Here is a 24,027-nt window from a genome sequence, read left to right as displayed (position 1 = left end):
CAAAGTGCTAGGATTACAGGCATAAGGCACTGTGCTGGGCCCAGAACATCTATATATTTAACACCTTCTCTCTCCCTCCCTCCTGTCTCTCTCTCTCTCCATTATCTCCCTTCAAAGGCATCCTTACACATTTGGCTCTTATCCCTTGACATGGTTTCTTCCCCTTATAAAGCACACCTTGGGTTTTCAAATGCAATAATCAAATCCAAGTGAGAACTGCCTTGTTAGAGGAAAGGCTGTTTTCTACCTATGGAGACAGACTCTACTGAGCCCTCCATCTTCACACCCAGCCCCACTGTGACCAGCGACATGTGCGAGTGATAACTGGCTGAGATTCAAGACATGGTTGGCGGTGTCTGGGGAACAGAGCAGAGGTGGGGGCTCCTAGGGAGTGAGAGCTAGTGACCCTGGCCTCATTAGCACCATGCTACTGAGCGGGAAGCCACAGGCCACGCCTGGAACATCAGAGGAGCAGCTCAGGGTGTTACAGCGTCAGAGTCTACACAGAAGGCCATTGCCATCCACATCCTGGTCTGTCTGTCTGTGCACTATAAAAACTGACAAAAAGGGCCTCACCGCTGAGTTTCAGACTGAATGTTTAATGCAATTAATGCATATTTCATAGCACAATAACTGCCAGCGCTTTGCTCTGCCATCCTCCCTGGCTGAGTTATTTACACAGCCATTTTGAGCCCAGTCACAGAGGAAGTTGACAAATGAGTGTCTGTGCAACATGTCTGGTTTTTTCCCATGCAGATCAGGGCCTCACAACTTCAAAAAGTCCCTGAGCAGCATCTCAAACCTGCCTTACTCAGTATACACTCCATATACTCACCTTGGAAGATATATTCAGTCCAAAATCTCTTGCCTTACATCCTTCCCTCCTTCCCCCTCCCGAGCCCCAAGAATAGTATAAAAAAGGCGCTTTAGGATAATATTATCATGTCCTAACATGGATCTTAGTGATTTTCTCATTGCAAAATCCTTAAAAATGAAGAGAGTGAGCTGTCCCCTGGTCAGTGACTTCATTTATTCATTGATCAGTTCTGACAGTCCTTTTGCAAGGCAGTTCTGCCCCTAGGATGGTTTGACATAAATCAGGGGCCCCTCAGCTCACCTGCTCATCATGGGTGATGGATTTGGCAGGTTTTCAGGTTCCTGTGAAACAGATCTCTGGACCAGGAGAGCCGGGCTGGGACTCAGAAGGCAGCTTTCAGCACTAGAGGGATATCGACTGATTCACATCTCGTGCTGTTTTTCACGTAACAGGCACAAATCCAGCCCTTTGAGTCTGCGTTGTAACCTCCGATTCAACATCAAGAAGCTTCAGGGGTACTTCTCTTTGTGCAATACTCGTGTTCCCGAAAAGTTGTAGATAACACAATTTCTTTGGGTAAACATGATCCCCTGTTTCCAGCGACTCTCATTATCATTTAGAGACATTCTGGATCGTTCCTTCTTTAACGTGAAATTTTTCTGCCTCCCTCTTTCCACTCCAGTCTCTTTGACAAATATTTAATAAAAGAGAAACAAATTTCGAGAACACTTAAAAAAAATTAAAGCAAATCTTTCTATAATGTGTAATTATTCACCCTTAAATATATCTGTTTTGTCACTATGGAGTCTTACATGCCAAGTTTTCCTAAATAGAGGCATATCTACAACTAAGCACTCTAGCAGATCAAAACAGCTGGCTGTGTTATTTTTTAATGAATGTACAAAGCTAAATTCATAAAGTTGATTTCATGAGAATTCCTTAAAGTACAGTCCTATGTAGCAAGCTCTCTTTAACATGCTGCTTTTAGGTTTTAAGTCTTGCCATGGGAGAAAGCAGTAGGATAGTAGAAAAGCTAAGGCCTTGGATTCAAGCCTGAATTGGACATGGAAGAAAATGATATTTAGCATTCCTGGCCAATGGGTGGATTTAATTTGAGAAGGAACATGATGGGGTCTGGAACTCTGGTGAGTTGTGATGACATGAGGACTATAGAGGTTATGGCTATCTGTCTAGTCTGAATGGCCTGGGTTTGAATGCCAGCTTCACCTCCTATCAGTAACTTTGAGTTACTTGTCTTCTCTAAGCCTTGCTTTCCTAACTATAAAATGGGTACAACTTGGAACCTACTGATAATGCCATGGCATGCATGAAATAATGCACATACACCACTTAGCACGCAGCCTGACTGTCACAAGCATTCAATAACTATCTGTTTAAACAAGGTAGAACTGTGGTTTGGTGTGTTTTTAATCTTCCTGGATTCTGTGAGTATGGAAGGACATAGGGCATTATTATCCCCATTTTGCAAAAGGATGTTGAAACCCAGAAGTTCAAGGTCTTGCCAGATCACATTGCCAACGAGTGCTAAGAGGGCAAAGACTGCAGCACTTTACTTGGCTCGTTTTATACTGGAAGACACTTTATAAAATGCAAGTTCTCACTTCCTTCCCCTGGTATTCAGTTATCTGTCTTGAACTGACCAGGGCCAGAGAGGGAAGGACCCACCTTCCAAGTCCCTAGACCTCAGGCCACTGAGACCCATTCTCCAACATGGAAGGAATGTTCAAATAGCAACAGCTTTCAATTACTGAGCGCTTACTTTCTGCCAGGAATTGTGCTAGTGTTTTACCCACATTAGAGCCACCCTTTGCAGATTTACAGGTGACAAAATGGGCTCAGAGAGGTAGGACAACTTGCTAAGGAGGAACAGCCAGCAAGTTTTCACATCATGCCAGAAATTCGTTAGTTTAGTCAGCGTGACTCCCAAGTAAAGATTAAATCACTTCACTGTGTAGTGACTCAAGTTCAGGCTTAAAGTTTCCTCAAGCAGAAATTATCAAACCTCACTGATGATTAGAAATGCCCAAGACACTTATAAAATAATGCAGACTTCCAGGTAGCACCCTTGGGAACCCTGACTCAGTATGTCTGGGTCAGACCAAAAATCTATATGGGATTTTGAAAATCCCCAGCTGAGGCTTATGATCAGCCAGGTGTGGGAAGTTTGCTTTGGGGCACATGCCTAGCTGCCCTCTGGGGAGCCTCTGACCTTACAGATGGGCTAATTCACAACAGTTCCTAACTGTTCTATTAGATCATTTTTATTGCCAGTTCCTTCCTCAGCTTCAGGCTCAGAGTTTCAGCCCAGACATCAAGCATTTATGGAGTGCCTACTGTGAGCAGGACCCTGAATGACACCTTGGGCTTAAGAAGCCAATAATTCATGGCCCTTGGGCCAGCTGTGTTCTTAATGCAGGGGCTAGTGTGTCTGCAAGCTTCTGAACACATGTTTCCTTGTAAAGATGTTAAGTTATTTTGCAAGGGTTTCCTATGTGATCTATTGTTTCAGAAATCAAGGGCCAGTGTCCTTTTGTCTGTGTCTTCACAATTAATAACACCAAATTAATAACACCTAATACCAAGTTCCATGCCCAGCAAAAAATGGTTGATAGCCCTGTGCCGGTTTAAACGAAACAAGAAACTCCTTCAGAGGGAATTAAACATTCCTCGTTAGGGATCTCTGGTCTGGCCAAAATATCTTTTTTTTTTTTTTGAGACAGAGTCCTGCTGTGTCGCCCCGGCTGGAGTGCAGTGGCATAATCTTGGCTCACTGCAACCTCTGCCTCCCGGGTTCAAGCAATTCTCCTGCCTCAGCCTCCCGAGTAGCTGGGATTACAGGTGCCCACCACCATGCCCAGCTATTTTTTGTATTTTTAGTAGATACAAGGTTCCACCATCTTGGCCAGGCTGGTCTCGAACTCCTGATCTCGTGATCCACCCACCTCAGCCTCCCAAAGTGCTGGGATTACAGGTATGAGCCACCACACCCAGCCTGGCCAAAAGATCTTACAGAGTTCATTTCTGCTTCTCAATATACAACAACCCAGCATTCTTCTCCCTAATTACATCTCCCCCCACATACAATGCCCAGTGAATCTGAACAGAGTCTGGAAAGAAATTGGGTGCATTCAGTTTTTCTGAACTCCGGGTTTACATTAATGCCACATGGGGAGTTCCTAAAATCTACTGATGCCTGGGGTCTGGGCACAAGTGTTTTAATTTTACTTTTATTCTTCTTCTTAAGATCCCCAGATGATGCTAATATGTAGCCATTTGAGAAGCTGAAGAGAACTGGGCTGGTAATTGGCAGATCTGGGTTCAACTCTAGTCTATCTGACCATTTATAAATGGATCTCCCGAGCTGAACTCTCTTCCACACTTGTAAAATGATGATACTAGACTAGACCTCTTGTGGACTAGATCTTTTCAGCTGTCACATTCTAAGTTTTGATGGTCTGGTACCAGTTCAGGTGAGGAGTGAGAGTTGAATGGGGAATAACAAGAGACCTTGTTCCTTTAAAAGGGCCAGATGCTCTTAGGGATGGAGAAGGCAAGAGAGAAAGAACATGAACTAGATGCTAATTGGAAAGGATAAGGGGCATGTCGAGTTGTCATTTTCATTCTCTGGGACCTGGTCTGTAAGTGCTGGAACTGCATCGTATGGATCACAGGAAGGATCCTGGGCATGCCAATTTCTGTCCTCTCTCCTATCTATCTATCTGTCAGCATGCTGCTCCTCAGCAGAGGGCCTCTGTTTGTTTTCTTAAGATGATTAAGTCCTAAGTCTCCCTCAGCAGAGCCTATGATTGAAAGTGACAACTGGAGCCTCCTGTATTTAAAAGCTGCCACTGTGTATCAGCAGAAGAATCAACTTAGGTTGGGGGACATTTTATTGATGCATTTTAAAACTTGATCTCAGAGAAGTGAGCAGGTATACAAGGAGGTAGGATGGGGTATACAGAAAAGAAGTCTGGTTGGAGAAGGGGCATGCCCCCATTTTTAGTTCCACTTTTAAACGTAGCTCCACAGGGTCAAATTTGTTGCCCTCATTCAAAAGTGCAAAGTGAAATGGAAGGCTGGGCAATGAAGAGGTAACTTGGTGCAATGTGAACAGCTGACTGAGGGTACCTGAAGCCAATGGGGCCGGGGAGTATATAGTCATCTGTCCATTGCTGAATTAGAGTTCAACTCCCAACTCAACTATAAAGCAAAACATTCTCAGAAGACATCCTCTCCTTCCGTCTGACACGGGACTTCTCCTCCCACGTATGCAGTTTCTTTCTTTTTTCTCCATTCCTCAGACAAAGCTTGCTGTGAGACATTTGTTGAGCATCTCCTATATGACAGATACTCTCCTAAGCATTGGGACACAAAGATGCATGACTAGGAGCCTTTAAAGGACCCCAAGGGCTCTACTAGCTGGGAGACAGAATGATAAGCCACAGTTAGAGCAGCATGTGACAGGTGTGAAGAGAAGGGGCCTTGGTGTTTTGGGGACACAGAGCTTGCCAGCTGAGAGAGTAAAGAGAGATACCAAAGCTGATTTTTGACATTAGCAAGAAGAAATTTGTTACAGCAAGAGAGAACAACACGTGTAAAGGTATAGAAACCCAGACATGCACGTTCTTCTCAGGGAACTGCATGTGTTTCAATATAGCTGGAGTAAGAATTCCAGAGGAAGGGAAGTGGAAAGCAAGCTACAGGGGAAGGTAGAAGTCAGATCACAAAGGATGTAATAGGTTTAGCTGAGTTAGAACTTTATCTGAAAGGTAAAGGAAATCAGTGAAAGGCCTTAGAGAAGAATATGATATTAGATGTATACTTTTTTAAAAAAAATTCTTTCAGACAGAGTCTTGCTCTGTTTCCCAGGCTGGAGTGCAGTGGTGCCATCTTGGCTCACTACCACCTCCGCCTCCTGGGTTCAAGTGATTCTCCTGCCTCAGCCTCCCAAGTAGCTGGGATTACAGGTGCCCACCACCATACTCAGCTAATTTTTGCATTTTTAGTAGAGAAAGGGTTTCACCATGTTGGTCAGACTGGTGTCTAACTCCTGAGCTCAGGTGATCTTCCTGCCTCAGCCTCCCAAAGTGCTGGGATTACAGGTGTGAGCCACCATGCCCAGCCTAGACATATAATTTAGAAAGACCACTCTAAGAGCAGTATGCAGGATACCTTAGAAAGGGGTAAGACCAACAAAAATAAGCAATGGGGCTGGGATAGCTGGCTAGCCATATGCGAAAGAATAACACTGGACCCCTACCTTTTGCCATATACATGCCAAAATTAACTCAAGTTGGATTAAAGGTTTAAATGTAAGACTTCAAACTATAAGAATCCTAGAAGAAAACCTAAGAAACACCATTCTGGACACAAAGATGAATGACTAGTAGCCTCCCGAGGACTCCAAGGGCTCTACTAGCTAGGAGACAGAATGATAACCAACAATTAGAGCAGCATGTGACAGGTGCTAAGAGAAAGTCTTTGCATTGGCCTTTGGAAAGAATTTATGACTAAGTTCTCAAAAGCAATTGCAACAAAACCAAATATTGACAAGTGGAACCTAAAGAGCTTAAAGATTTTAAGAGCTTCTGCTCAGCCAAAGAAAGTAACTATCAACAGAGTAGACAGACAACCTGCAGAATGAGAGAAAATATTTGCAAACAATGCAACCAACAAAGGTCTAATACCCAGAATCTATAAGGAACTTAAACAATTCAGCAAGCAAAAAACAGGAAACCCCATTAAAAAATGGGCAAAGGACACGAACAGACACTTCTCAAAAGAAGACATACAAGTGGCTAACAAACATGAAAAGATGCCTCACATCACAAATCATCAGAGAAATGAAAATCAGAACCACAATGAGATACCATCTTATACCAGTCTGAATGGCTATTATTAAAAAGTTAAAAAAAAGATAAAGCAGATGCTGGCAAGCCTTCAGAGAAAAAGGGAATGCTTATGCACTGTTGGTGGGAATGTAAATTAGTTCAGCCCCTGGGGAAAACAGTCTGGAGAAGTAAAATATAACTACCATTCAACCCAGCAATCCCATTACTGGGTTTATATCCAAAAGAAAATAAACTGTTCTACCAAAAAGACACAGGCATTTGTATGTTCATCACAGCACTATTTACAATAGCGAAGTCATGGAATCAACCTAGATGCCATTCATCAGTAGTGGATTGGATAAGAAAATGTGGTGTATATATACACAATGGAATACTACATAGCCATAAAAAGAATAAAATCATGTCCTCTGCATCAACATGGATGGAGTCATTATCCTAAGGCCATTATCCTAAGCACACTAATATAGGAACAGAACACCAAACACTATATATTCTCACTTAAAAGTGGGAGCTAAACATTGGGTACTCATAAACATAAAGATGGTACAAGCCAGGTGCAGTGGCTCATGCCTGTAATCCTAGGACTTTGGGAGGCTGAGGTGGGTGGACCACCTGAGATTAGGAGTTCAAGACCAGTCTGGCCAACATGGCAAAACCCTGTCTCCACTAAAAATACAAAAAGTAGCCAGGCGTGGTGGCATGTACCTGTAGTCCCAGCTACTCGGGAGACTGAGGTAAGAGAATCACTTGACCCTAGGAAGCCAAGGTTGCAGTGAGCTGAGATCATGCCACTGCACTCCAACCTGGGCAACATAGCGAGACTCTGTCTCAAAAAAAAAATGGTACAATAGACACTGGGGGCTGCCAGAAGGGGTAGGGAGAGAAAGGGTCAAGAGTTGAAAAACTACTGGGTACTATGCTCCCTATTTAAGAGATGGGATCACTCATATCTCAAACCTCAGCATCATGCAATATACCAATGTAACAAACCTATACATGTACCCCCTGAATCAAAAAGACAAATTGAAATGACTAAAAAAGAAAGAATAATTATTTTTTAAAAGAAAGGGATAAGATTGAAGAAAGGAAAAAAACAAACCCAATTCACACTAAATGGTAGAGGGCTATTCTAATGGAGCTATAGGCTTAAGAGGGAGAAGGTTTTCCAGGACATTCTGAAACCACATAATACAGGCAGAAAATTTCCCTTAGTACTAAAAAGTACTTCTCTCTCTTTGAGGCCCTATATCTGGTCTTGGGATAGGCACTGTGGCCTCAGAATTTCTATAGATAGTGCTTGTAGGAGTTCCTGACCTTGATCAGGGAACACTTATTTCATGCTCTGGGATCACACCTGTCAGGGATGTGTCTTCAAGTTGTGGAGTGAAACCATCATCACTTCCAGCTGCTAACGTCCACTGCAGTATCTCTAACCTGAGTTCTGTACATCTGGCTGACAAATTCACCTCTTTTTTCTCTTCAGCCCTGATTAGGTTTACCAACAGTGAAAGTCTAGGCAGTTCCTTGGAGAAGCAATTGAATCCACTGTCTTTTAGAATATCTGATTGTGTGTTATCCAGAGACAACTTAACTACTCCTGACTTATTCCAGCTTATCTCCTGACAGCTGGGAAGTAGAAGAAATTGTTTCCATTGGGAATAATAGTGTGGGACATCTCACTGAGCTGCTGATCCATGTTTATGGATCTGTATGAATCCCAGTTGCTGTCCACCCTGCTCAGAGGCTCTAAATCAGAGTCACATGGAAACTTCGGTCTTAGTAGCTTCAGGTCTATGACATATTCTTAGCGTGGAGCCTCAAAAGCCCTCCCATGTAGAACTCTATCTCTTTTCCCAGAGTTTGGGGTAGGAAAGATAGTGAAGATGGGACAGATTTTGATAATTTTTCTTATAAGGTACAACTGGAGGCACTTGGGTGGAGGGAGATGTTTCTCAGGTTTCTGGCCTGATGGGAACCTGAGATGGATGGAAATGCCAGCAACTGAGATTGGAAATGGTGAAGAAAACGTACAGGGATGAGATGACGAGTTTAGTATTGGATATGCTGAATGGTCCATCCAGGTAAAAACATCTAGCCCACTGTTGGTTATGCAAGTGTGAAGCTCAGGGGAAAGCTCTGGACCGAAAATAATGATTTGAAAATTATTAGTTTATATGTGGGAGTTGAAACACTCAGAGTGGATAAGGCTAGATGATAAAAGAGTGTAGAGTAAAACTCTAGAATGATGAATTTTATGAGTGCATAGAAGAGGTCCCCACAGAGGAGATAAAGGGGTAATAAGAGACATAGCAGGAAGGCCAAAGGTGCATGGAATCACAGAGGCTAAGATAATCTAACATCTGAAGTAGAATGGCATTTTCACTGTCTCACTTTCAGCAAACAGGTCCTCTATGGTAAAGATTTGAACTTGGCAATTAAGATTTTCCAGTGATTTTTTCAAGAGAAGTTTCAGTAGAGCAGTGAAGGCTGGAATCAGATTGAAATGTGTTTGAAAATGTGAAATACAGAAATGGAGGCCCAGAATATGGACAAGGCTTTCAAGAGTGGATGAGAAAGGGAGAAAAGAGATCAGGTTGTGGCCAAATATGGGTGTGGAGAAGAGTTTCAGTTTGCTTCATTTATAGGAGAGGATGTGTTGAGTATGTTCCCAGGCCGAAAGGAAGGCTCACCAGGCGGGCAAGAGGTTGAATACAACCAGTGGGACAAGGTTTTGGAGATATGGGATAGAGTACAGTCCAGAGCATCCTGGAAGCTTTGAGGAAGAGAAGGAACAACCTATCCTTGGATAGTAGAAGTAAGAATGAATGTGGCTAAAGTGACCTGTGTGGGTAGGGTTGGGGTGGAGAGCCAAGGACCATCACTCTTGCTAGCCTCAATTTTCTTTTTTTTTTTAGCTTTATTTTTAATAGACAAGCAATAATCATATATATTTATGGGGCACAGGTGATGTTTCAATACTTATATACACTGTGAAATAATCAAATCAGGTTAATTAGTATATCCATCCCCTTGAATAGTTATCATTTCTTTGTTTTTGTTTTCTTGTTGTTGTTGTTGTTGTTAAGACAGATTCTCCCTCTGTTGCCCAGGCTAGAGTGCAGTGGCACGATCTCTGCTCACTGCAACCTCCACCTCCCAGGTTCAAGCGATTCTTCTGCCTTAGTCTTCCGAGTAGCTGGGATTACAGGCATGCGCCACCATGCCCAGCTAACTTTTGTATTTTTAGTAGAGATGGCATTTCGCCATGTTGGCCAGGCTGGTCTTGAACTCCTGATCTCAAGTGATATGCCCGCCTCGTATCATTTCTTTGTGATGGGAAGGTTTTAAATCCTATTTTGTAGCTTGTTTGAAATATTCAATGCATTGTTCTTACCTGTAGCCAACATACTGTGAAATAAATCACCAAAACTCCTCCTGTGTAACTGAAACTTTATACCCACTGACCAACATCTCCCCGTTCCCCTCCACCTCCCCACCCCAGCCCCTGGTAAACACCATTCTGCTCTCTACTTCTAAGAGTTTGACTTTTTAAATTTCCACATATATGTGAGATCATGTGGTATTTGTCTCTTTGTGCCTGGCTTAGTTCACTTAATATAGTGGCCTCTGGGTTAATCCATGTTATTGCAAATAACAAAATTTCCTGTTTTTAAGGCTGAATACTATTCCATTGTGTATGTATACTACAATAACCTAGGTGTCCATCAATGGATGGATGAATAAAACTTCACTGATGAATAAAAAAGTCTGGTTGGAACCGAGTGCTGTGGAAGGCTTGGGTGTTCTCCCTTCTTTTCTGTGCTTTCTGGTCAAAGCCACATGAATGGCTCCTTCCTGATCACAGAGCAAATCCCCCACCCATTGTCCTGACTGAAGCTCAGGATGGAACCCCTCACCAAACCCCTGAGAGGGAATAAAACAGAAGATCTGAAGCCACAAGACTGTTGAGGAAACCTAATTGAGCTAGGGTCTTTCCCAAGGTCACAGAGGAAATGAGTAGAAGTGCTGGAACTGGAGGCTGACCAGCCCTGCCACATCCTCAGCCAATCCCCAAATGGAGAAAGGAGGGATATTCAAGGTTCAGTGGAACCTGTCCCCACCACCGATGAACAACAGGAAATCAGAAGAGCAGGTGCACTTTGCAGCTTCCAGGTCAGTCCTTGCCTGGCAGGTGCAGCCCAGGTGCAGATGTTTGTCAACACAGCCAGGCCCCTATCCTGGCCTGGGGGAGGGTGGCAGCCACTCTCTATTGTTATGCTTAGCTCTTCTTGCAAGAGGAATCTTTGCTGTCTGTTCCTGAGAGCAAGGAGCCTTTGATTCTGGAGGAGTGATGCATTTCCTGACTTTGATCTATCACAAATCAGATCTTTGCACACTCTCAAGAGAACACTTTCATTTTAAAGGCTCTGAGCTAGCTGTCTCTGTTGCTCACCTGTGGAGCTGCTCTTCCCCCTACTGCTCATTCTTCCAGCAAAACAGGCCCCTAGGCAGGCTGCCTGGGACAGTCAACGAAAACAGGCTGGCCAAAAGGGCTCCCAAGTGAGCAGTAGCCCAGATCCCACAGACTGGCACAGCCTCCTCCCTCTGGCTTGGGGCTGAGGACAGCATCCACTGTTAAGGGCAGATGAGTTGAAATAACAGAAAATGGGAAGCCTCTCTCACCTACAGGAACAGCACAGGGACCTCCTCGAAGGATTTGCACACTCCTGCCCTGGAGCCTTCAATGCCCCCTGTAGGATGGAGTGGGTGCATAATACCTGCTTCATTTTGCAGATGACAAAACTAAAACCCATAAAAAGTTTCCTGAGCAATTTGGGACTGCAGAGCCAGGATAATAACACAACATTAGACTCCTTTCCCTGTACTCCACTGACCATTCCACAGGATCCCTAGGTGAGGCTGGAAGACCCCAGACAGGCATTCCAGGGGAGGGCCAGACTGGGCTGAGAAAAGTGTGAACCTTATAGGGTTTCAGACTCCAAAGCAACACAGTACTGCACTTGGGAGTTAGAAGAATTGAATTCTGGTCTTGGCTGTCCCATGTATCAGCGGTCGGAATCTTGAACAAATTACACAAACTTTCTGAACTGCTTCTGTAATCAAACCTGTCTGCTTGTACCATAGGATAAATCAAATAAGGTGAATGATGGGCAAACCTCATTTTATTGCTCTCTGCTTTATTGCGTTTTACGGACATTGTGTTTTTTACAGATTGAAGATTTGTGGCAACCGCACCAAACAAGTCTATCGGTGCCATTTTTCAACATCGTGTGCTCACTTTGTGCCTCTGTGTAACATTTTGGTAATTCTCACAATGTTTCAAACTTTTTAATTATTAGTACATCTGTTATGGTGATCTGTGATCAGTGATCTTTGATGTTATTACTATAATTGGTTTGGGACACCACAAACTGTACTTATATAAGATGGTGAACTCAATCAATAAACGTGTGTGTTGCGACCACTCTGCCCACTGGCCACCCCCCTTTCTCTCTCCCCTCGCCTCAGTCCTCCCTATTCCCTAAAAACAACAGTACTGACATTAGGCCAATTAATAACACCACAATTGCCTCTAGGTGTTCAAGTGAAAGGAAGAGTAACATGTCTTTCACTTTAAATCAAAAGATAGAACGATTAAGCTTAGTAAGGAAGGCATGTTGAAAGCCACAATAAACCAAAAGCTAGGCCTCTTGGGCCAAAGAGCCAAGTTGTGAATGCAAAGGAAAAGTTCTTGAAGGAAATTAAAAGCACAACTCCAGTGAACACATGAATGATAAGAAAGCAAAACAGCCCTATTGCTGATATGAAGAAAGTTTGAGTGGTCTATATAGAAAATCAAAAAAGCCATAATGTTCCCTTAAGCCAAAGGCAAATACAGAACAAGCCCCTAGCTCTCTTCAATTCTGTGAAGTCTGAGAGAGGTGAGGAAGCTGCAGAAGAAAAGTTAGAAGCCAGCAGAGGTTGGTTCATGAGGTTAAGGAAATAAGCTGTCTTAATATCATAAAGGTGCAAAAAGAGGCAGCAAGTGTTGATATAGAAACTGCTGCAAGTTATCCAGAAGATCTAACTAGGATCATTGATGAAGGTAGCTGCACTAAACAATAGATTTTCAATGGAGGCAAAACAGCCTTCTATTAGAAGAAGATGCTATCTAGGACTTCCATAACTATAGAGGAGAAGTCAATGCATGGTTTGAAAGCTTCAAAAGATAGGCTGGATCTCTTGTTAGGGGCTAATGTAGCTTGTAACTTTAAGTAGAAGCCAATGCTCACTGATCGTTCTGAAAATCCTAGGGCCCTTGAGAATTATGTTAAATCTTCTCTGCCTGTGCTCTAAAATGGAACAACAAAGCCTGGATGACAGCATACCTGTCTACAGCATGGTTTACTGAATATTTTAAGCACACTATTAAGACCTACTCCTCGGGGTGGGGGTGGGGGTGGTGCGGCGGGGGGAAGGTTCTTTCAGAAGATTGCTGCTCATTGACAATGCACCTTGTCACCGGAAAGCTGATGGAGATATACAAGATGGATATTGTTTCCATGCCTGCTAAAACATTCTGCAGCCCATGAATCAAGGAGTCATTTCAACTTTCAAGTCTTATTATTTAAAAAACATATTTTGTAAGGCTTTAGCTGTCATAAATAGTGATTCCTCTGATGGATCTGGGCAAAGTAAATTGAAAACCTTCTGGAAAGGATTCACCATGTTAGATGCCATTAAGGACATTTGTGATTCATGGCAAGAGGTCAAAATATCCATATCAACAGGAGTTTGGAAGAAGTAGATTCCAATGCTCATAGATGATTTTGAGGGACTCAAGACTTCAGTGGACAAAGTCAACGCAGATGTAGTAGAAATAGCAAGAGAACTAGAATTAGAAGTAGACCCTGAAGATGGGACTGAATTGCTGCAATCTTGTGGTAAAACTTGAACAGGTGAAAAATTGCTTCCTATGGATGAGTAAAGAACGTGGTTTCTTGAGATGGAATCTACTCTTGGTGAAGATGCTATGAACATTGTTAAAATGATGACAGAGGATTTATAATATTCCACAAACTTATTATAGGCAATACAGCAGCAACAGGGTTTGAGAGGATTGACTCCAATTTGACAGAAGTTCTACTGTGGGTAAAATGCTATCAAACAGCATCACATGCCACAGAGAAACCTTTTGTGAAAGACAGAGTCAATAGATGTGGTAAACTTCACTGTACTATTTTAAGAAATTGCTACAGCCACCCTAACCTTCAGCAGTCACCACCCTGATTAGTCAACAACCATCAACGTCAAGGCAAGACCTTCCACCAGCAAAAAGATTACCACCTGCTGAAGGTTCAGATGATTGTTAACATTTTTTAGCAATAAAGTATTTTTAATTAAGGTATGTACATTTTTTAAAAACACAATGCCTTATTCCTATTAAGTCATACTTAATAGACTACAGTATAGTGTAAACATAACTTTTATATGTACTGGGAAGCCAAAAAATGTGCATGCTTCACTTTATTATGATAGTCACTTTATTGTTGTGGTCTGGAACCAAGCTTGCAATGTCTTTGAGGTATGCCTATATATAAAAATTTGCAAAAATTAGAAGAATTTATACTCCCTCCCATTTTCCCTCTGCTGTAACTTCACAGAACTTCTTTTTTTCTTTTGTATTTTACTCAATATGTACAGTGACAAGATCCTTCAGGAAGCCCTGGGTTCCAGGCCTGGTTCTGTCACTTGTTGCTTCTGGAACTTGAGCATGCCCAACAATAAAGGTGTGACTTACAAACCTGTTTCGTTTGCCCACCTCACTGATGAAACCAGGTAGGAGTGAGCCCTTTGAACCCTGTAAAACAAAGAAGAGGCTTCTCCTCCATACGTCTTGGGTCTGAGCTTTTCTCTTCCCATCACTCACGAACTGGGAAACAAGGACACTTCTCACTAAGAACCAGCTCACGTGCCTCTCCCGGCAACATACGGAGATCTTCCTTTGGAGAGCTTGGTAGGCCAGGTGAACAGCTGTTGCTGGTGCCCTTATGAATAAGCGGCAATAACTCTGCTAGAGTGAGCTTAAGAGGACAGCTTAACTACTTTGCCGTAAGAGCAGGCTTGTTTTGGTTTTGCCTTAGCTTGTGCCACCCCTGGATTTATTTCTCCTGCTTTTGTGTATTTGGTGATCATGGAAATTGGAGTTCACTTAGAAAAATGCCCTTTGGAACTCCAAGTACATTGTAACTTGACAAAATATATATTGGCTGGCAAAACATACAGAAAAACTAGTTTTTATAAAATATAATTAGATAAGTAAACATTAGTATGTATCAAATGTCTTTAAATATGTCCATCCTTTGTCCCAGGAATTCCACTGTTAGAGCTTTTATCTGTCAGATAATATTGGATAACTGCAAATACTGTCTGTAATTAGAATATGTCTGGGATACTTTTGCACTGCGGGAGGTGATGGACTGCTGCTGCCAGGGCCATGCGATGTGGAAGTTGTGAAATTCTGGCTGGCTAAGGACTTGAGGAGATAATTGGTCATGTACTTAGCACCACCTTGTGTTTCTAGACAGATCTCAGTTTGGTCATCTGATAAATGGGAATAAAATATTTACTTCTGAGGGTTTTTGTGAGCATGGAAATGCTTCATTCAGTAAGTACCTAAGAGCACCCTGGACCATATTGTTTATCCTTTGAGGTCCCAGCCAGCTTCATTTTCTCTCTTAGACTATAAGCTCTTGAGAGCAGGAACAATCTGCTGCTACCCTCCCACCCCACTGCCGAGAGGGGGTCATGGCTAACATTCCTATGTTATAAAATTGTAGCATAACATTATATATTTTACATTGTTGTATATAATATTTAACAAATATATAGTTGTCTATTAAAAGTTTTTATATAATGGGTTTACAGTGTAGTTTTTTAAAATCTTCTTTAAATGTAACAATATAACTTGGATGTCTTACCATGATGGTACATACCAGTCTTTCTTATTCTTTGTATTTACTACACAGTATTTTATAGTATGGAAGAAAGTACCATGAATTAACTCTCCTTCTACTAATGGATTGTTAGATTTTCAGATCTGTCAATCTACAAACAACAGTGTAGTGAAACCTTGTGTACCTATACCATTGTTCACATATATATGGGCTTCTTTAGCATCAAACCTAGAAGAAAACATTTAGGGTCTAACTCATGTATTTTTTGTATTTTGATAAATATTGTTAAGTTGATCTTCAAAAGGCTGCTCCAAAATATCCTTTTGAACATATGAGTAATTCTGTTTCATATAGACATGTAGATCAGATTTGGATTTTATCACTTTTTCATCTTTGCCAATAGAGAGAAAAATTATGCTTATTGTTGTTTTAATTTTATTTTTAATGGAAATTATATTCTAATTTCTTTTTTTAATGAAGTTGAACATTTTAATGGCAATTTGTGTTCGTGTGTGTTTATGTGTGTGTGTGTAAATTCTCTATGCCTGTTGTCTACCTTTCTATTGATTTTTTTCCCTTATTGCTTATTTGAATATTTTCTACATTAAGGATCTTAACCTCTTTGTCTACATTTTGGATACTTTTGTTAAATTTTTAATTTTTTTTATTTTGACATCGAAAAATGTGTTGTTGTTGTTGTTGTTGTTGTTTTTGCTTGTTTCCACAGTTTTATTTATTAAGATGTTCCTTTATTCTTCCTGGCTTTGGCATTATGCTTTAATTGCCCTATTCTGTCATGTCCTAATGAATGTATTGTGTATCTGTAAAATGATAAGAATTAAATAAGATAATCTCTAAAGTATGTTCTATAAAGCCCATGATTTTACATGATCCAAAACCTCATTAATTCAGACAAAATCCACGGTAGCCAGTATAAATGACTGAATACAATGTTTACCAAAGTATTCATTTTAACAAAAACATTTCATCCTTTTCATATATATATGCTCTTTCATATATAAAGCATAACTATGAATTAAGCAACAAAACATTGCTACGTAGAGGTCTCATTCATTTTTTACCATTAAAAACAATCAAAATCACTCCTTCAAATATATTTATTCAACACCATACTAAAGATCTTAATTATTGCTATCCTTTCCTCAGCCCCACAAAGTCGTGGACCAAGGAGGCCATGCAACATGGACCAGGCAGGGGCATTGTTTCCATAGTAGCCAGCCCATTGGCTGGACAGCAACCTATGGCCTATATGGTTTATTAAAAAACAAAACAAAACAAAAAACTGATGAACAAAAAACTGATGAACAAGAGTTGGGCCAATCAGATTTCTTCTTTAGTTATATGTTGTTTGGAAACTGATAGAATAAACCTGTTAGCAGTAGCAGCTGCAGCAGAAGGGGCATACTAGAGAGAGCTAGACTGAGACATTAACGCTCTTTCATGTGTATGCTGCCATTTTAAAAAGTCCAGCTTCATGGACATGTGACCAGTGGTCAAATAAGGGCCTGTGTTTACAAGGACCCCATGCTTGGATTTAATGCTTTCTTTTATTTTTAAACTTGGGTTTTGTTAGTGAATTCCATGTGACAATGGAACATGCTCCTGAGGCCGGAGCCTCAGCAGCCACGGTCCTGCTTCCCGCTGCCCCCTCTTGCCTTGTGTTCTCAGAGCGCTCCCCTCCCCACCCCGCCCCCCCGCTCATTTCTTTCTACCTTCTCCTCCCCTGCCTCTCCCCACATCACCCAGCAATCAGTGTGCCATGGGGAGCTGCCCTGTGTGCTGCAGGGAGCTGGGTGCAGGCCAGAGAAGGTCAGGCTGCTGTGACCTGCGGCATCTGCACATGGGTGAGGTGGCGGCTCTCCCTGCCCTAGGCTGCCACATCACAGCTCATTTGGTAGGAGATTCAGTGGAACAAGTCTTTGGCCCTCCCCTGATCTATGTACCTAGTGCACCATGCATGGAAGTTGCTATTCCATTGGGTCCTGGGGATTGCCTGTCTGCCTTGGACTGCAGCTGTGGGCTGATGGGAAGGAGGGATGCCTGGCTTGACTTTCTCACCCCTTAGTGGGGAATGGCTTCTGTCTGGTGGCTGGCAAGAAAGGAGAACCCAGCTGTGAGTGCCAAGTCTCAGGGCCAGGCACCTAGGCACCTGTGAGGGTCTGCACCTGCCCTGTGAGTATTTCCATGCTCGAGGAAGGATAATATTGAATAGCAAATAGGTGGAGACAGAAAGAGACAGAGAGGAATAGAGAAAGAAAACTTTATAACTTTAATGGTGCCTTTTTCTGCTTTTTGAACAAGGGATGCTTCATATTCATTTTGCAGTGGCCCTAGCAAATCATTTAGGGTGTCTTGACTCTAAGCCACCAGCAGAAGTGATTCGTGGGGAAAAGAGAACAGAATAGATGTAGAGAGAGAAACTGAAATGCTACAAGAGGAAGAGGTAGCCCAGGAACCTGATGAGTTCTCAATTCCAGTCCAAGGGTGTCTTATAATCAACACTTCTTTCTTGAGGTAATGGAAGAAGTTCTCTGCATCTTGCAACCAAACAAACTTGCTTAAATGATTGAAGTAAACACTCTCTGAGAGACAGGTGCTAAAGGGGATACAGAGGTTTGCAAGTCACAGCTCTTGTCTCAGTGAGATTTCAATGAGGTATAAAAACACAATAAATAGTAATAGTAAGAGCAATAACAGGTAACCCAAAGGGCACTGATGCCATGCTAAGCACTTTGCATACATTTAATCCTCACAATAACCCAATAATCCCATGAGAAAGGAATCAATAGTTTACAAATGGGGCAACAGAGGTTTAGACAGTGCACTTGGCAGAGCTAGGACCTGCCTTGCAGCCTATAATAAATCTCAGAGTGGTATAAAACACTAACATATTAGCGAGGGTGGACAGGCTACTTCTAGCTGGGAAATTCAGGGAACACTTCTCGGATGCTGTAGCTCACCAATTGGTGGCTACTTATGGAAGGGTTACTGAATGAACAGGATTGAATAAGTGACCAAACGAAGGAATCAAATTGAATTGGATTGAAAGCAAAGATTTGACAGGCAAAAATAGAGGCAGATCATTAGTAAAAGGGCTGTGATGGAAAAGACCACAGTGAGCTTGGGCATTGGGAAATAGACCAGTTTGGTTGGAGTTGAGGTTACGTAAAGGGAGCAGGAGGCTGATGAGATGGGAAATGAAGAGACCCAGGCTGACGGTTTCATTCTATTTGGTGGGGAATCTTGAGCCACAGAACATCTATGCGCAGGGGAGCTATGATTAAAGTCATGCTTTGGAAAAGTTAACTCTGGGCCGGGTGCAGTGGCTCACGCCTGTAACCCCAACACTTTGGGAGGCTGAGACGAGTGGATCACTTGAGGCCAGGAGTTCAAGACCCAGAATGGCCCACATGGTGAAACCCCATCTCTACTAAAAATACAAAAAAAAAAAAAAAAAAAATTAGCCAGGTGTGATGGCACATGCCTGTAATCCTAGCTACCCTGGAGGCTGAGATTGGAGGATTGCTTGAACCTGGGAGGCAGAGGTTGCAGGAGATCATGCCACTGCACTCCAGCCTGGGTGACATGGCAAGATTCTGTCTCAAAAAAAAAGAAAAGAAAAGTTTACTCTGGTATTTCCGATATTGCTAATTTTTTTTTTTTCTAGGCACACAGGCTAAGCACCTGAGAGCTATCTTTTATTATTTATCCCTTACCCTCCTCACACATCTATGAAACTATTTATTCCTTTAAAGTGTGTCTCGAGGGGAGTGGGGGTCATAAAAAGAAGTTCCGGGAAAGACCTAGAAACATTGGGTTCTCCCTCCAACATACCTTATTTATACCAGTAAGAGATTTGGTAAATGTTTTCTTAGAAATTTCAGTCCAGTTCCAGCCACATTAATAGGAATTCAGTAGAATCTATCTTTTAGGGGTTTTCTGAATCTAGCTAGTCAGAATCTTAACATGAAAATAGTGATATCTCATTCATTCAATCTCCACTATTTTACAAGTTGTGATCCTTCTAACCATCTAGAAAATTTACTTTTATTTAAGCAAACTCATGCCTCATAAACTGGCATAAATTGCAAGTTTAAATGTTTTAAGGGGTATCTACCACATTTAAGAGAGTAGAATAATTTCATCTAAGTCCTACATCCTTATAAACACTATTTGTGTAAGATGGCTGATGTGTCTTCTTTATAAATCCCTAATTGTTTCATTCAAGGAGGTCCTTTCGACACCAAACAGAACTCAGTTCATGTACTTGAGTTATCGTGTGCTCTCCAAAGTCATACAATCGCATTTCTTAAACTCCTCCCCCGCCTCTGACTTCCTCCTGATTCAGACTGACCTTTACCATACATCACTGTAAAGAAATCCCCTTGGGGTGAGTTATCATGGCAAGATGCTCGTCAACTGAAAGGCGAGGTCAGTGCCTCTTTGTAAGGTCTGCTCACACTCTGAAAAGGGCTGCTGGAGGCCTGACAAGGAGGCTCGCCCAGCCCGTTCCACCCCACTGACTTCCAGGCAAGATCGCCCCAGCACACAGCTAAGTGTGTTGTTTTTACCTTCTCTCTACCTGAGATCCTGACACCAGCCCCTGGTTTCTGCAATAGGACATGGCTTGGACTCACCCAGTTCACGTAGCAGTAATTGGGTCAGTCCTATAGTTATCAACTTATTTATAATTTCAAAAAAGGCTGCATGTCTGGCAAAGGATTCCCCATTTGCTAGGGTAGAAAAAAAGGGGGCAGCTTAAGCTCTGGGGTCTGAAGGCTGCGATAAAATTAACCAGTAGCCTGAGGGACTTCAACCATACACAGATAATTTTCTTGAGATGACAATTGTTCTAGGCTGAAATAGACAACTCGGGAAGGCTGTGGAAACTTCTGCTCTCAAGATTCAAAATATAGCACACAGCCTCACTACCTGGGCTTGTCTCTACAGGCAAAATGATCTCTGAAATCTAGCTGCAGGACTCAACGACTGGCGAATTTGTGCATGACACAATCATAATCAATGGGAAGGATTTGTTCCATTGCTCAGATAAAACCAGTTGCATTATTTCATCGCCCTACTGCATACATGGGGGAGAATGGTGCTTTTTCTGCAAAACTACTCTGCCATTTTTGGGCACAGTTTTGTTGTAAGATTGGTGTGCAATAGAATGAAGAGTAAAGAAAGGGATAAATGAACCATAATTTGTAGGCATGAGTCTGTCATTCCATTCTCCCACTAATATTATAGCTTTGGGTGTATTTGAATTACTTTTATATATGCATCTGTGTTGCTAGGCTCTTTAAAATGAGCTACCTAGAATCTTCCACAATGTTTGCAGTTAGTTTGGCACACAGTAGGTACAAAATAAATAAATTAGGCGCATGAGCAACGACTGATTTTGGTTTTTCTAATTGGGGCTTGTTTTTCTAAATGGAGATCTTAGGGCTCCGCCCATGGGTGAAGCATATCACTGCCTTTCCTTCTACATTCCAGACATGTGCCCAGAGGCCTTCCAATGAGGAGGGTAGAGTCTAAAATGAGCTCACTGGCATTAAAATCCCCTACAGCTTCTGGACATGAAACTTGGACATTTTTTACATTCCCTAGAGATACTGGCCTACATTAAAATTTCAGTCCCTTCCCGTTCCTCCTCCCTGTCACTCCAACTAAAAGAATTATCTAAACATGTCCCTCACACATTTATTACAAAATAAACTTGCCTCCTAGAGAGAGGGTAGCTTTAGGGGCTCCTGTAGCCAAGCTAATATGCCCAAAGCTAATATTAAACCAGTAACCTCGGATCTCCAACAGAATACCTAGGGGCCACCACACCTGAGACAGCTTGTTCTCTCAGCCAAGACACACACCCGGCTCTAGGTATAAAGTGAATTTCCCATGTGAAATTTTTCCTGATGCCCTGACTCCTTTGCAACCTGACCTTAAAGGAATAAGTTCAATGCTTAATTATGGATGTATTATCAGGTGTAAACAAGGAATGTAGATGATAGCTTGGCTAAGGTTAGATAAACGACTTCCCTTTTCCCTATCATTTTCTTTTTTTAAAACCTGATTGATCCAAAGATATTTATTTTTGACTGCTGTTGGGAACAGTATGCACTTACAGGCACATATGCACCTCTGGTCTATTTACACATAATTATTGTTTGAGGAATAAATGTTAAGAGAGTTTCATTGTAAGAAATCGAAACTTGAACATTTATGCCAGTAAGCAGTTAAAAAAAAAAAAACCCTGAATACAAGAGAAATTCTTTAATGAAGGAAGTCATTAGTTTTGATTTGAATTTAAATGTTGTAGCAACTTTCCTTTTGGTAACTAATAAATAATAACTTAGTTGTACGTGATGATGACCATTTTCTTTCTAAGAAAATGTTCTTTGGTAACTGGTACTAATAGAGGACAGTCTGAAAAGAAGAAATCAATCATTGGTTTCTTGAATCTAAATTTTATAGCATTGGAAAATGTTCTAAAGGAAGGATTCTTGGATGGCATGAAGTACCTGGCTCCTAGGACAGCGTATCAGAATAAGAAAGGATGGAACAGGGTTTCAGTGATCCAAGCTTCTCACTCCAGCCCTTCCTCCCTATAAGAATATCAGCTGAGGCCAGGTGTGGTGGCTCACACCTGTAATCCCAGCACTTTGGGAGGCCAAGTCGGGTGGATCCCTTGAGGTCAGGAGTTCGAGACCAGCCTGGCCAACATGGAGAAACTCTGTCTCTGCTAAAAGTACAAAAACTAGCCAGGTGTCATGGCAGGCACCTGTAATCCCAGCTACTTGAGAGGCTGTGACAGGAGAATCGCTTGAACCCAGGAGGCGGAGGTTGCGGTGAGCTGAGATCCTGTCACTGAGCTCCAGCCTGGGTGACAGAGGGAGACTCCATCTCAAAAAAAAAGAAAAAAAAGAAAAGAAAAGAAAAAAGAATATCAGCAGAGTGATCTAGTCTTACTAACACATGTAATACATGTTTGTCTTCAGGTGCGGAGGGCTGGAGATGCAGAGAACCCCAGTCAAGGTTAAATTCAGTGAACAAAAGCAATGGAGAGAGCAAAGTAGGGGATGAGAAAGCCTCAGCAGGCATTTCCCCCAGTTTCCTTGGTCAAACACTACTCACCATTTCCTTTTATAACTCTGAGCTAATTACCTTGGACTTGTTCACAGTCCCTCTATTTATGCAATCCAGAATAACGTTTGATTTATTTTATTGCTCCAGAACCTGGTGCCAAAGACATTAACATTTTATCCGCCTGTGCACTTGGATTTATCCTCTCAAATCTATTGCCCATGACCAAGGAAGATCTGTCTTGCCTCTAGATTTCTTGTCCCTAGCCTCATTACCTTATTTGTCACTACACTGAGTTGGATAATCAAATTACCTGCCTCTCTTCAGCAAGCACTTGGAGTTTTATTGTCCTTACTGGCCACCTTTGATCCTCCTTCTGCCCCCTCAGTGCTCGCTCTTCAACCCCTGCAGGGCTTCCCTTAATCTTTGGAGGAGGGCAAAAGTGCTTGACTTAGCCGCTTCACCTCTTTCCCTGTGGGCCAAATGTCACCCCCTCTCCGGATCTCAGGATCAGTAACACAACTAGTTCCCCAGGCTCATCTACAAGTGGGTCCCCCAAGCATTTGCAGAAGTTATCCCACATAATGTGATGATACAGGTTCCTAGACAATCTCCCTCTATGTAACCCACACCACTCATATCTGACTCTTTAAACATTACACAAAACACAAGAAAACCAAGCACTCTGGAAGGATTGTTCTTTACAGTGCGCACAAGCATTATGTCATTCATTTCCTCCCTACAGGTGGAATTTGATTGTCCCAATCCAAAATGACCTCCGGAGCCTCTATTTCCTGCACCCCTCAGCCCTCACAGTACCTCAGTATGTGGCTGAGTCATGCAACCATTCATGATACAGTATGTCCACTCTACCAAAATGCAAACTTGCCAAGGCAGGGCCATAGAAAATATGTTATTCATCCATGTACCTCCTAAAATATAGCATAATGCCTAGAATTAGCAGGCTTTCAATAAATATCTGTGAAAGGAAACTGAGAAGCAAAAGAGGGAGAGAAATTAAGAAGATGACTCTAGTGTTGTAAGAGCAGCAAAAAATAGCACCAACCACTTATCATGAAACTGTTTTTCCCCCAAAAGTTTGGTTTTTCAAATTCTTATTTCTTAAGTTCCTGTTATTCATTATTCACATGTGTTTGTATACGTTCTGCCTGGAATTGAATTCTCTAATGCTTTATTTCCCAAGTCTTAATTTCTGAATCTCTTGTGGTGATGTAATCGTGTTATTCGTTATTTCTTTAGTTTCTTTGGTTTCTTT

At 42.0% G+C, this 24,027-nt stretch overlaps 1 protein-coding gene across 1 annotated transcript in view, besides 1 other annotated feature; it reads right to left on the bottom strand.

Annotated features, from left to right (window-relative positions):
- RPS6KC1 (ribosomal protein S6 kinase C1) overlaps nucleotides 1-24,027 on the bottom strand; it is an 811,495-nt gene that overhangs the window by 181,179 nt on the left and 606,289 nt on the right. The window lies entirely within an intron of this gene.
- Nucleotides 10,684-11,213: an enhancer, noted in NCBI's record as "OCT4-NANOG-H3K4me1 hESC enhancer chr1:213843687-213844216 (GRCh37/hg19 assembly coordinates)". NCBI's record gives its function as "activates a minimal SCP1, AML or CMV promoter by ChIP-STARR-seq in naive H9 embryonic stem cells {active_cell/tissue: H9 hESC(naive)}" and the evidence as "EXISTENCE:reporter gene assay evidence [ECO:0000049][PMID:30033119]".

Source organism: Homo sapiens, chromosome 1, assembly GCF_000001405.40.
Source record: "Homo sapiens chromosome 1, GRCh38.p14 Primary Assembly".
NCBI lineage: Eukaryota > Metazoa > Chordata > Mammalia > Primates > Hominidae > Homo > Homo sapiens.
The sequence above is the reverse complement of the archived record's forward strand: the minus strand, read 5'-3'. Positions and strand labels throughout refer to the sequence as shown.